At 47.9% G+C, this 13,760-nt stretch overlaps 1 long non-coding RNA gene across 1 annotated transcript in view; it reads right to left on the bottom strand.

Annotated features, from left to right (window-relative positions):
* Positions 1-296: 296 nt before the first annotated feature.
* Positions 297-13,760, bottom strand: part of LOC339166 (uncharacterized) — a 158,463-nt gene continuing 144,999 nt past the window's right edge. The window contains exon 4 of the long non-coding RNA NR_040000.1: positions 297-1,213. This is a non-coding gene — a long non-coding RNA (uncharacterized LOC339166). The remainder of the gene's footprint in view (positions 1,214-13,760) is intronic.

The raw sequence follows: 13,760 nt of genomic DNA, 5'->3' as shown, positions 1-13,760 counted from the left end.
GGGCTACAGAGTGAGATTCCATCTCAAAAAAAAAAAAAGAAGGAAAAAGAAAAGGCAATCAAGAAGGTCTCCTCACCTGCATGCTGATATTCATTGCAGCACTCATTACAATAGCAAAGATGTGGAATCAGCCCAGGTGCCCATTGACAGTGGACTGGATAAAGAAAATGTGGTACATATACACGATGGAATACTATGCAGCCATGAAAAAGAATGAAATCATGTCCTTTGCAACAACATGGATGCAGCTGGAGGCCATTATCCTAAGCAAATTAACACAGAAACAGAAAACCAAATCCCACAAATTCTCACTTATAATTGGGAGCTAAACATTGAGTACACATGACATAAAGATGGGAATAACAGATACAGGAGACTCCAAAAGGGGAGAGGGAGGGATGGGGGCAAGGGTTAAAAAATTTCCTGCTGGGGACTATGTTCACTCTTTGGGTGACAGGATCAATAGAAGCCAAAACCTCAGCATCACACAATATACCCTGTGACGAACATGCACATGTATCCCCTGAATCAAAATACTACGTTTAAAAAATTAAAAAATTTAAAAAAAATTTAAAAGCTATGCGTCTACCAAAAAAGTTCTCTTGAGTAAGTGCTGTCTGAGCCAAAGCCTGAATGACAGGCAGGAGCAACCATGCACAGAGCTGCGGAAGGAGCGTGTGGGGCAGAGGAAGACCAAGGGCACGCACCCCAAGATGGAATCTGGCCTGAATCAGCATCTTCCTCCAACAGCAGTGAGCAGAAGTCTCCAAGGAATGCCAGAGGCCTTGAGCTGAGTGAGGGCGACTTGGCAGGAGCAGAAGAGAACGCTTTGCCATCACTGGTCTCCAAAGAAAGCCGTGGTTTGGGTAATCCCTGAACACAGAGAACCCCAGTTGCAGAGAAGAAAGGAAGAACCGGGGGCTGCCCCAGCAGGTTTTCCCCGGGACGCAGTGGATAACACAAGCTCCCAGCTCCGAGCGATGGTCAGGCAGGCATTCACTGGACACAGCAACCACCAAGGCATTTGTCAGAATAAACAAGTTTTCCGTGTGAAGGACATCTTGATCACGGGTCAGACAACTAGGCGCTGGGCTGTCCGCCAGGTAAAAGAAGTATCCGTGAGAGGCACACTGCAGACAGCCATGCCTGGCTCTCCTTCTCTTCCTCTTAGGGTGAGATTGCTAGTGGCTCTGGTTCTGGGATCTCAATGTAGCTGGGGGATTACAAGACACAGGCAGGGATTTAGGAATGACCTGTGCCCTCACCTCCCAAGGCTGTGCCTACCTCCCCTGCTCACTTCTCTTGGGCCTCGCCAGCCTACTCTTTCCATGCACCAAGCTCATCCCCACCGCAAGGCCTTTGAACAAGCAGTTCTCTCTCTTGCTCTCCTTGCACAGCCAAATCCCTCTTGTTGTTCAGGCCCAAATGGCTCCTCTTCAGCAGAGACCTCCTCCACCCCACCCCTCTCCACCTGACGCTTGCTCTAGGTGCAATACGCTACTCTGCTTTCTTCAGGGCACGTCTTCTGTGAGATTGTCTGGCTACGACTCCTAGTTACAGTTCACATCCCAAGGGGACCGTGGAATTTATTGATGTGGGGCCTTGTCAAGGACAACACCTCTGTGAGAATGCGCAAACTTTAGAGCAGAGCTGGCATGTCGGTTGGCACTCAGGAAAGAGCTGACGGCTGGAAGGTTAAGACTGGCGGAGGGGGAGGAAGAAAAAGAGAAGGGGGGAGAAGAGAGAAGGAAGGAGGAGAGGAAGGACAGAAAGGAGGGAAGGGAGGAAAGAGGAAAAGAGAGAGATTTGGCCTCTGCCCTTAAGGACGTCACAGACTACCATGGGAATGGATGTGCAAACAAATAATCACAGTGGGGTACAACACGTGCTAATGCACAGACAGTAGAGAGGGCAGAATGGTGTGAAGCAAGTCAGGGCGTACTTCAGAGAGGCAGTGTCACAAGAGTTGGTTTTGAAGGATGAATAGGAGTTTTCCAGAGAGACATATTGGGATGTCATGTCTAGGGAGAGTCAATTACATTTGGAAAAGCCAAAGGGAGCGAAACAACATGGGGTTCTCAGGCAAATACATGTGACATTGGCATAGAACAGGCAACTGGGGATGACTGCTGGAGAATATACTGCAAAAAGCAGCAGAGCCATGTCTGAAAGGCCTTGAATGCCAGGCCCAAGGCCTAGGACTTGATGCCATAGGTGACCAGGGAGCAAGTGAAGAGTTTTATGCAAGCGAGAGACATGGGGCCAGATGTGAGTGGGAAAGATTGCTGCTGGGCAGTGTGAAGGATTGTCTAGTAGAGCGACCATGGCCTCACAGGGAGGCTGTTAGGCCATGCAAGGGCCAAGGTAAGACATGATGTCTTTGCTAGTGACGGTGGATAGAAAAGTGGGTGGGGAAATTCCAGAGATTTTTGAGGGGCAAAAGGGCAGGGCTTGGTGATTGAATATGGGGGTGAGGGACAAGGGAGACAGAGAAAAATGCCTCTGTTTCTGGCTTAGGGGCCAGCGAGGTCACCTCTGAGCTGAGAGCCCAGGACAGGAGCAGGCTCAGGTGAAGGTGATGAGCTCATTATGGACGTGTAGGTTTGAGGGTCTGTGACATATACTGGGGAGCAGTGTCGCAAATGAGTGTCTATATGGGGACACAGGAAGAAAGGGCTCCAGCCTGCTGCTCAGGCTTCTGAACAGGTAGGGTGGACCTAAAAGATTTTGCCTGAAAACCAAGAGAACATGCTGGAAAGGCAACGACCTTGTCTCTTCCTGCTTCCGCCGGAGAGTCACAGGGTGCTTGACCTTCTGTCTCTCTCTCTTTTATTGTCAAAAGATTCCATAACCTTTTATCTGCAAGGCTGAGAGAGGGCTAGTCCCATTATCTGCCTGTAGAAAGATTCTGGTATATGACCCCAGTCCACCTTCTGTGGGTGTAGACCTGCACCCCCCTTCCCTTTACAAATGGAGCATTCCTCATAACACAATGCTCAGGGCCACGGGAGGCAGTCGCAAGGCCTAATCTGCTTCCCTCTTCCTCAACCAGAATCCCCTTCCTCCTGCTACCAGATATGGGGGGCTACGGTGCTGATGAGGGGAAGTCTTATGGCACATGCCAGCCACAGATAACAAGGATTTCCGGATTCCTTCCTGTCTTCAAATTCTGTGTCCTAGGCAGGCACTGAGCTTCTGACCAGCCCTGCCTAAGGCTTCAATTCCCTGAGAAGGAAGAACTGTCAGAACGCCAGCCTTCCTTCCTTTCCCCAATCTAGAGACCCACACTCCATTCCCACCCCTGCAAACACTGGGACGGCCACGCAACTCCAACCTTCCTCTGCTTAAATCCTGTCCAATGTCACAATTTCTCGGCAGTGCCACTGCCTCCAGGAGGCCTTCTACAACGCTGCAGGGTTCGCAACTAAGACACACCCTGGCCTTGTGATTCTGTGGGTCCTCCTCTTGTCTCCCTTCCTCCCCCAGATCCCTGGAACTTTGTCTGGTTCATCAACATGAGGCTGGGACCGCCACACCAAGCCCAGGACAACACTCAGGCCAGCCTTTCCTAAAGGGCCAACTGCTGATTGGCCAAATCAGAGACAGCAGAGGGATCCATGAGCCCCGCTGGGTCCCTCATACATTTAACGGGTCTTATAAATCACATAAAATTTTATCATTCCTATAAATTATGTTTTTATGAAGCATGCAAATCACCTGTAAGACACCGCCTGTGGATATAGGTAATACTCAGAGAGATCTTGGTTATTCTAAAAGAGATGAGCATCCTCTCCCTCATGGGCTCAGCACCCCTCACCCTGCCCAGGAACCAGCACTCTCCTATCCAGGTGGAGAAAAAGGAGGCATCTACATAGTCAAGGGTTGGGGTTGGAGTGGAACAACATGGGTTAAAATTGCAGGTCTGCCACAAACAGGCTGAGACTTTGAGCAGGACACACAAACTCCCTCACCCTCAGCTTCATCTTCTACGAAATGAAGATAGCGCCACCTGACTCAGGTGTCTGCCATAAAGATGGACAGTCTTGTCAATTATAAAGCGCTATATACATTTTATGTTCATTATTTCCTTGGTTCCCAACTCTCCAGGGAGGTGGCACAGGAGTTTGGGCTTGTGTCCCAGCAGAGTGAAATTCTCAGTGACTTTGAGCAAGACTTGATCTTGGAGAACGAGGGAAAAACATGGACTTGGGAGCAGACCATGTCCTGGCTGTGTGACCTTGGGCAGCTTTCCTCACCTTTCTGAGACTCTGTGCCACCCACTATAAAGTGAGGATAAACAAGGGGAGCTGAAAGTCTTTTTTGTTTTTGTTTTTGTTTTGAAATAGAGTCTCGCTTTGTTGCCCAGGCTGGAGTGCAGTGACACGGTCTCGGCTCACTGCAACCTCCGCCTCCCGGGTTCAAGTAATTCTCTGCCTCAGCCTCCCTAGTAGCTGGGATTACAGGTGCCCACCACCATGCCCAGCTAATTTTTGTATTTTTAGTAGAGACGGGGTTTCACTATCTTGGCCAGGCTGGTCTTGAACTCCTGACCTGGTGATCCACCTGCCTCAGCCTCCCAAAGTACTGAGATTACAGGCGTGAGCCACTGCGCGCCCAGCCAGTGAAGAGGGATTACACAGGTAAAGAAAGGAAGAGGCCGGGTGAGGTGGCTCACACCTGTAATCCCAGCATTTTGTGAGACTGAGCTGGGAGAATCACTTGAGCCCAGGAGTTCAAGACAAGCTCAAGCAACCTAGGGTTACCCCGTCTCTACAAAAAATAAAAAATTAGCCAGGCATGGTGGCATGTTCCTGTAATCTCAGCTGCTTGGGAGGCTGAGGTGGGAGGATCACTTGAGTCTGAAAGGTCAAGGCTAAAGCACGTGGTGATGGTAATTGTGCCACTGCACCCCAGCCTGGGCAACAGAGCAAAACCCTGTCTCAAAGGAAAAAAAGAGAGAGTAGAGACGAGTGTAAAAACCAGGCGGACACCACTTTAACCAAGATGAACTGACTTTGCGTGTCTCCTGATAGGCTATACTGAGGACACAGCATCACTTCTGCAGGATTCTTGCAAAAAGGCAATCCTCAATGTAATCGTGAGCAAACATCAGGCAAACCACAGTGAGGAGACAGCCTGCCGAACAGATGGCCAGTATTCTTCAAAAGTTTCCAAACCATAAAAGATAGACTGAGGACTATCTCAGACTGAAGGAAACAAGAAACTTTGACAACGAAACACAATGTAGGCAATTGGCAAAATATGAACAGATTAGTTAGATTATCATATCGATGCTAAATTCCTGGTCGTGATCATGATACTGTGAGTATGGAAGACGATAACACTTGGAGAAGCTGGGTAAAGGTACAAAGGGACTCAGTACTATTTTTGAAACCTTGTTGTAAATCTAAAATTATTTCCAAGTTTTTTTAATATTTTAAATTCTAAAAAAAGACATTGATTCAAGCGAGGTGGGGCATGACTCACATCTCCCAGTATCAGGAGTCAGCGTGCCCAGGACCCTCTCCTCCACAACTCTATGAGACTCTGTGGTCATGAGGTGGGCTTAGGGAGAAGGGAGAGTCCTGCTTTCTTCCCAAATCAGAAGCAAAACTCTCTTAAGTCCAAAGCCCCACTAGCCCTAGGTAAGTCTCCCTCAGAGACACTGACAGAAGCAGAAAACAGAAAATCAGGTCTAATGGGAGTGCCTTTCCAACTCTCCCCACCAGCACCTGCGGGACTCCAGGCAAGAGGGACAGTCAGCCAGGAGAAGCTCTCTGGTCCCAGGACCGGGACCCCAGTATCTCACCCTGCATGGAAGGGTCCCCTTGGGACATTCCTGCTCCCTCCTTGTAACCCCAGCCCCTGCACCCTTGGGTTCAGTGCACTCAATCTGCATTCTCTACATTTTCACCGTGAGGATTTTATTGTACCAACAAAAAATCCCTTGGACGCTTGCAAAATTGTAGTCAACCTTTTAGCATCTTTTCTCTGAGAAAATGCATACTTGAAAAAACAAAAAGCAAATTTATTCACCTTTCAAAAGTAAATCTGTACCTTACCCATCACAATGAAATGCATACATCATTAAGAAAGGCTAGTGTGTTTATGTCTACAAAGGAGCTCGGATTATTAAGGATTCGCAAAGGAAGGGAACTCTCATGGGAAAATATCTCTTCTCCAGCAGACACCCCAACAGTGCTTTTCACCTCAGGACTCAGGACCCATGACCACAGGATCTAAGGATCTCAGGATCTCAGGACCTCAGGCCATGGGACCCTCAGAACACAGGACTTCAGAACCTCAGGATCCAGGACCCAGGACCTCAAGATCTCAGGACTTTGGGACCTCAAGACCTCAGGACCTCAGAACTTCAAGAACTCAGGGCCTGAGGACCCAGGACCTCAAGACCTCAGGATCTCAGGACCCAGGACTTCAGGATCTCAGGACCTCAGGACCCAGGACCTCAGGACCTCAGGATCTCAGGACCCAGTACCTCAGGACCTCAAGATCTCAGGATCCAGGACCGCAAGACCTCAGGATCTCAAGACCTCAAGACCTCAGGATCTCAGAACTCAGGACCTCAGGACCTCAGGACTTCAGGACCCAGGACCCTTAGAGCTCAGGCCCTCAGAGTAGAATAACTCAGGGTGTTCTGAAGACAGCAAAGACCAGTGGTTAAGTCCAACAGACTGGGGTTTGGGCCAGGGTTGCCCCACTCAGGGCTGTGTGGCATGAGCAAGTCGCTTGACCTCTCTTCACCTCCGTTTCCCTTCACATAAATCCTTTTTATGCAGAATAAGAAATATCAATTCTTTACAACATTGTATCTTAAACACGTTTGCATATTAATGAACTTTAATGGCCACAGAGCATCCTATTCAGAGTGTATGTATATCTGTGCTAGCTAAATAAATAAAAACATATATCATGATTAAATATATTAAGGTATATATCACTTAACCCTACTGTGTACCAGATACTCCACTAGGAGCCGAGGATACAGGAGTGAACAATGCCTGCCAGAGCCCTGACGTCAGGAAATGTACTTCCCTATCTTTGCCGTCCCCAATTCAGTCATGGTCAGCCCCTGTTCCCAGTTCTCTGCAGCTATTCTTCCCAGCTATCCTCAAGTTCAATGCGTCAGAATGTGTATCCCAATTTTGGGTTCTGAAATCAAGGCCTTGTGTGATGGCAAATGACACTTCCAACGACCATCAGCAAATGTCCTTCTTGTTTTTGGTAATTACCTTTGGATAAATTCCTAGGGGTGCGATCACTGCACCAAAGGCTGTCAGCCTTTTAATGACTCTTGATACATACAATCAAACTGTTTTCCAAAGGGGCTGCACCCAATTTACACACTGCCACCGGCAATGTATGGGTGCCATGCCTAGACCATGACTGTGTTAGTCCTGGGTGTCATAATTATATTTCTTAATTTGTGTTAATTTAATAGGTGTAAAATTGCATCTCATTTTAATTTGCATTTCTTTGATAGTGATGAAGGTTGAACATTTCCTTTTGTAAATATACACACATTTGGATAGCTTGATCCATTTATTCATTCGTTATACACTAACCCTGTCCTATACCCCAGACACTGCAAAGTGCCAGAGACTCAGAGATACATAGAACACAGACTCTACCTTCAAGAACCTTATATGTGGCTGGGCGCGGTGACTCACGCCTGTAATCCCAGCATTTTGGGAGGCCGAGTGGATCGATCACCTGAGGTAAAGGAGTCTGAGCCAGCCTGACCAATATAGTGAAACCCCATCTCTACCAAAAATACAAAAATTCACCAGGCATGGTGGCTTGTTTCTGTAGTCCCAGCTACTTGGGAGGCTGAGACAGGAGAATTGGTTGAACCTGGGAGGCGGAGGGTGCAGTGACCCAAGATGGCTCCACTGCACTCTGAGACTCTGTCTCAAAAAACAAACAAACAAAAAAAAGAACCTTATATCCAATGGATAGGAAAGAGAGGAAAGCAAACAAGTTAGCCAACAGTCCTGGTGTGGTGGTAGCACATTCTCTACCATGTGCTAGAGAGGCCTAGTGGACTTGTTGCAAGAAGAGGAGGGACAGAGAGAGGTGACAGAGAGGAAGGCACCCAAGCCAGACTGGGGGATTGAAAAGGGTGTCTCAGCTGCTCCAGATCGGCCTCTGAGGGCCAATGGACAAACTGTCAGGGACCTTCCCTTGTGTTGGTCCATTTGTTTCTTGTGCCATGTGATGTCTTGGCAAGGGGGAGGGCGCCGTTCTATTTGTACATGTGCTTCTGTGTCTCTGCGGTCTATGTGCATTTGTTGTGTGATGCAAGTGCCTGGGTGACAGGTGTTGTGGCTTTGGGTGTGCCCTGTGGTATCTTTGTGCTTTGCTTGTATCGAGTGCACGTCAAGTGTGTTTTCTGGGTGCCACGTGCTAGGGTGCTGTGCTATGCGTTCTGCCGTTCTGTGTCAGGCCGATGAGCCTGGGTGGGCCTGGGTTCCTGTGGGTGGAGGGCTGTGGAGATTTGCACAGGGCTCCTGCCAACTGAAGGCCCCAGGTGTGCTGACCCCTTTTGGCCATTGGCCCTGCCTCACTCAACCTTGGCTCCAGTCTCTGCCTCTGTTTGCAGTAAGGTGGGGGGGGGGGACGTCAATCCAGCCTCTCTGGGGTCGGCTCTGTCATCCAGGCAGACTTAGCATCTTCTCTGACAGTCTTCTTTCTGTCAGCTGAATCCCTGCTGAGCCCGGCAGCCTCCCCTTCTCACAGTCCTCCCTGGCACGAGGGATCCCCAGAAGTGGGCAGGCCAAAGAGCTCATTCTCTGCCCTGAGTCACCCGAGGGCTTATGAGAGCCCAGGAGAAACCACCAGTCAGGAAAGGCGCCCAGGAAAAGTGGTATGAGTCACCCTGCATAAGCACTGCCACCCCTGGGCCACTGATTGCCCATGGAGGGACAGCCACTGGCCCCAGAGGCAAAGAAGGTAGAGACTCGATGTGTGGCTTTGTCAAAGCTGTGTGGCTGGGTAGCCAGCAGCCCTCTGCCTCAAATGCCTCCCTGGAATGCCTATGAATCGTCATCATGCTTTGTCACCTGAAACAAATCACCAGGACAAGGCAAGTCCTTCACTCCTCCCTCCTAACGCAACACTCCACCCCCCACACACAAAATGCAAACACAATTAGCATTTTTTAAAAAACAGTTTATGGAGATATATTTCACAGACAGCCATACGGTCCATCCATTTAATGCGCACACAGGTCAGTGGTTTTCAGTATATTCACAGAATTATGCAACCATCATTACAGGCTATCGAATGTTTTCATCACCCTAGAGAAAAAACCCATGCCCATCAGCCTCACTCTCAGACCCCTCTCTCCTCTAGCCCTAAGCAACCCTAATCTAATTCCTGTCTCTACAGAAGTGCACATCCTGGACTTTTCATATAAACGAATTATACAGGCCGGGCGAGGTGGCTCAGCCTGTAATCCCAGCACTTTGGGAGGCCGAGGCGGGTGGATCACGAGGTCAGGAGATCGAGACCATCCTGGCTAACACGGTGAAACCCCATCTCTACTAAAAATACAAAAAATTAGCCGGGCGTGGTGGTGGGCGCCTGTAGTCCCAGCTACTCGGGAGGCTGAGGCAGGAGAATGGCGTGAACCCAGGAGGCGGAGCTTGCAGTGAGCCGAGATTGCACCACCACACTCCAGCCCGGGCGACAGAGTGAGACTCCGTCTCAAAAATAAATAAATAAATAAACAGAATTATACAATATGTGATCTTTTGTGACTGGCTTCTTTGACTTAGGATAATGTTTTCAAAGTTCATCCATGTGGTAGCATGCATCAGTATTTTAATCCTTTTTATCGCCGAATAATATTCCCCTTTATAGATGGAACTGTTTTATTCACAGACCCATCAACTGATGGACATTTGAGTTGCTTCCACTTTTTGGCTATCGTCAAACATGTTGCTAGATGTAGTTTTTATGTTGCCTGAGAACATACCTAGGAGTGGAATTGCTGGGTCACGCAGTGACTCCATGTTTAACATTTTGAGGGACTGCCAATTTTCCAAAGTGGCTTTTCCAAAGCACCATGTAGCATTTCTACCAGCCATGAATGATTTCTCCACATCCTCACCAACACCTGTGATTTGCCGTGTTTTAAGTAATAGCCATTCTGATCGATGCACAGTGGTATCTTGCGGTTTTGATTTGACTGATTATTATCAATTTTATTACGTTGTTTTTCTATATGTCTTCATATCTTTAATTCATATGCAGGTATAGGTATGAAGTCTGTGGGGTCTTAACACACTCTTTCCTAACTTATCATTTGCAACTTACTTCTTCCCTTACTATATCTTGGAAATCTTTCCATATTAGGACAGGCATATCCATTATTCCACAACTGATATCTACTGTGGTTTTACTGGCAATCCTCTGTAGATATACATTGAACTGGCTTCACATTTTCACTCTCTCAAGTAATGCTTCAATCTAAACATCCGTGGACATGCATCTTTGTGTATGTGTGTGAGTGACGCAGACTTCCTAGAAGCAGAATTGCTGATTCGAAGGAGAAGAATAATTTAAACTGTGCCAGGACTCGCCAGAGCGAAGTTCAATGAGGCTGTGATAATTCACATCACCGATAATAGCATTTGAGAACACAGACAGACTTCTAACTGCTAGGTCTATACACGGTTGTAGTGAGTTTTCTCTGAAAGTCATGCATTCCCTTTCATAGGAAGTCTTTAAGCAGAGAATGAACTTGGTCGGGGGGCTCTAGAAAATCAATTTCAAAATGGGAGGGGGAATTAGACTTTTTTAAATTTTTGAGACAGAGTCTCACTCTGTTGCCCAGTCTGGAGTGCAGTGGTGACATCTCAGTTCACTGCAACCTCTGCCTCCCGGGTTCAAGCGATTCTCCTGCCTCAGCCTCCTGAGTAGCTGGGACTACAGGCACGTACCACCACACCCAGCTAATTTTCGTATTTTTCAGTAGAGACAGGGTTTCACTATGTCGGCCAGGCTGGTCTCAAACTCCTGACATCAGGTGATCCACCTGCCTTGGCCTCCCAAAATGCTGGTATTACAGGCGTGAGCCACCGCGCCCGGGCACATTAGACCATTTTGAAGGCCCCCATTTTTAAGATCTCTTCCCACTCTGAGAGCTCATGAGTCTGTGAAATGCCTCCACCAGGTGGTGAAGGGTTTCCCAGCTCACACCTGCTGCCATTTCCACACAACCCTGGCTTATCAGCATATTCCAAATATAACTGGAGGCCCAAATGGACCAGTCCCTGTGCAGGATCAATTCAAGGAATCTGTAGTCTGACAGCAAAATATAGCTGAAAGCAATTGTAATTTATGTACACCTCTGGGGAAGCCTCTACAGGGAAATTGTGCCCGTGTATATAGGGAGGACAGGGTACATTCTCAATGCATAGCAAAATATAAATATTTCTTCTCCTTTTGCCACTCTCAATACACACACATCTGGCAGACATTCCTCAAATATCTTTTCCTTTTCTCCACCCTCAGTCCCAATTTAAAATTTTCCCTATTTTCTTTCCTCCCCACCCTCTTTCTCTTCCCTTTTAATCTTTTCTCTCGGAACAGCTCTCTTCTTTCCAATGCAAATCTCCTGACCGCCCTTCCTCAGTCCCCAGCCTTTCTATCCAGCTCTGCATTATAAAAGCTGAGGGTCTGAGCTGGCAAAGGTGGAACCCCGTCTAGAAGGCTGGAAAGGGTTGCTGGGGAACTGAACAGGCAAAGAATAAATTATTTTCATTTAGAGGCGGAAGGGAATGAGAATGGGAATGTTCACACACCAGCAATTTTTGTCCCATGTCAGAGTGGGCCCAGTTCTAAGCATGCAAACCTATTTGAGGGGGGCAAGTTAGCCCAGTTAAATTCAAACAACATGTGATTTAAGAAACAACCAGTCATTATGGCTTATCAATGTATTTGACTGAAGACAACCCAACTATTTCTCTTTTTTTTTTTTTTGAGACGGAGTCTCGCTCTGTCACCAGGTTGGAGTGCAGTGGCACGATCTTGGCTCACTGCAACCTCTGCCTCCCGGGTTCAAGCGATTCTCCTGGGCGTGGTGGCGTGCGCCTACAGTTCCAGCACTTTGGGAGGCTGAGGTGGGCGGATCACGAGGTCAGGAGTTAGGGACCAGCCTGGCCAACATAGTGAAATCCTGTCTCTACTAAAAATACAAAAATTAGCCAGGCGTGGTGGCAGGTACCTGTAAGCCCAGCCACTCGGGAGGCTGAGGCAGGAGAATCGCTTGAACCTGGGAGGCAGACTTTGCAGTGAGCCGAGACTGTGCCACTGCACTCCAGCCTGGGTGACAGTGTGAGACTCCGTCTCAAAAAAAAAAAAAAAAAAAAAAAAACCTAGGGAAGGAGGAAGGATGACCCATGAACGTAGCTTGCCCCAGCAGGTTCAAAGTCTAAATTAAGAATTCTCAATCTCTGCTGCACAGCGGATCACCTAGGGAGCTTGTAAAAGTCCCAATGCCAATGCTGTTCCCAGATAAATTAAATCAGAACCTCGGCAGGTGGAATACAGGCATCAGTTTAAAAAAAAAAAAAAAAAAAAAAAAACTTCCCAGATGATTCCACATGCAGCCATGTTTGGAAACCAATGATCCCAGAGGTATAAACTTGAAGGACCAGCACCATGAGCATGGAAGACCACAGAGCTGGGGCAGCCCGGCCCTATTCCCATTCCTGGAGCAGGAGAATCAGTCTAAGCACAATCTAATTACTGTCTCTTCTTGTTCACACTGGCATAACCCACACCTCAGAGATGACTGAATACAAAAATAAATAGGTCTAAGCTCTTGTTAGTTTATTCAGGTTTCCCTGATAACTATGCAATTGGGGAAGCTTCTAAGAAATGTAATATTGTGTCTCTTCAGAATTGTTCAGTTCTATCGGAAAAATAAATATTGAAGAGGTTCATCAGATTCTCAGCAGTCAAGAAAGGCTTCCACTGAAACCCTGGCCATGTCCTCTCACCATTGAGGGAAAGGGAGTCTTGACCACCACCTTGCCCAACACTGAAGGCTTCGAGTGGGAAGGGCAACTGCTGGCTGGAACAGACGCATCTCTGTCCCTTTCTCGGGCTCTGGGACTGTGTCAGCTTCCAGTTCTAGCCATTGGTCCCAGAACTTCAACTGACCAGCTGGGTGATCTTGGGAAGATGCTGCCCCTCCCTGAATCTCAGAGTCCTCTTCTCTTGGGGTCACACACCCTCCAAAGGCAGCCTGCTCCCTCTCTGGACACTTCAGACTTCTAGAAAGTTCTGCCTGACCGTGTTGGCCTCTGTTTGCCAGTTGTTTGTGTCAACCAGTGACACCTGCTTCCTTGACCCAGAGAGAGCCCGGATGAATTCCGCACATGGAGCCTGGGCCTCACCTCTCTTCTCCAGTTTGAGTCCCAGCCCCTCCGTCATCCCTTACAGGGTGCCTTTTCCTTCCCTCCCAACCTTCTGGTTGTCTCTGAAGTTGACACAGTGCAATCTCTAAAAGCATCTTCTGTCAACAATAAAGGAAAAGTTTAAAAGCTCGCATTTAGAGAAATTGGCTAGAAAATTTGATCCAAAGGCTCTCAGACGTGATCATACAAATATGATTTGCATAAACCTCATAATTTTATTTTTGCTGATATCATAATAATATAGGGAGGGCCAGGCTCAGTGGCTTACGCCTGTAATCCCAGCACTTTGGGTGGCCAAGGCAGGCGGATTGC

The sequence above is a fragment of the Homo sapiens genome, chromosome 17 (assembly GCF_000001405.40).
Source record: "Homo sapiens chromosome 17, GRCh38.p14 Primary Assembly".
NCBI classification, from domain to species: domain Eukaryota; kingdom Metazoa; phylum Chordata; class Mammalia; order Primates; family Hominidae; genus Homo; species Homo sapiens.
The sequence above is the reverse complement of the archived record's forward strand: the minus strand, read 5'-3'. Positions and strand labels throughout refer to the sequence as shown.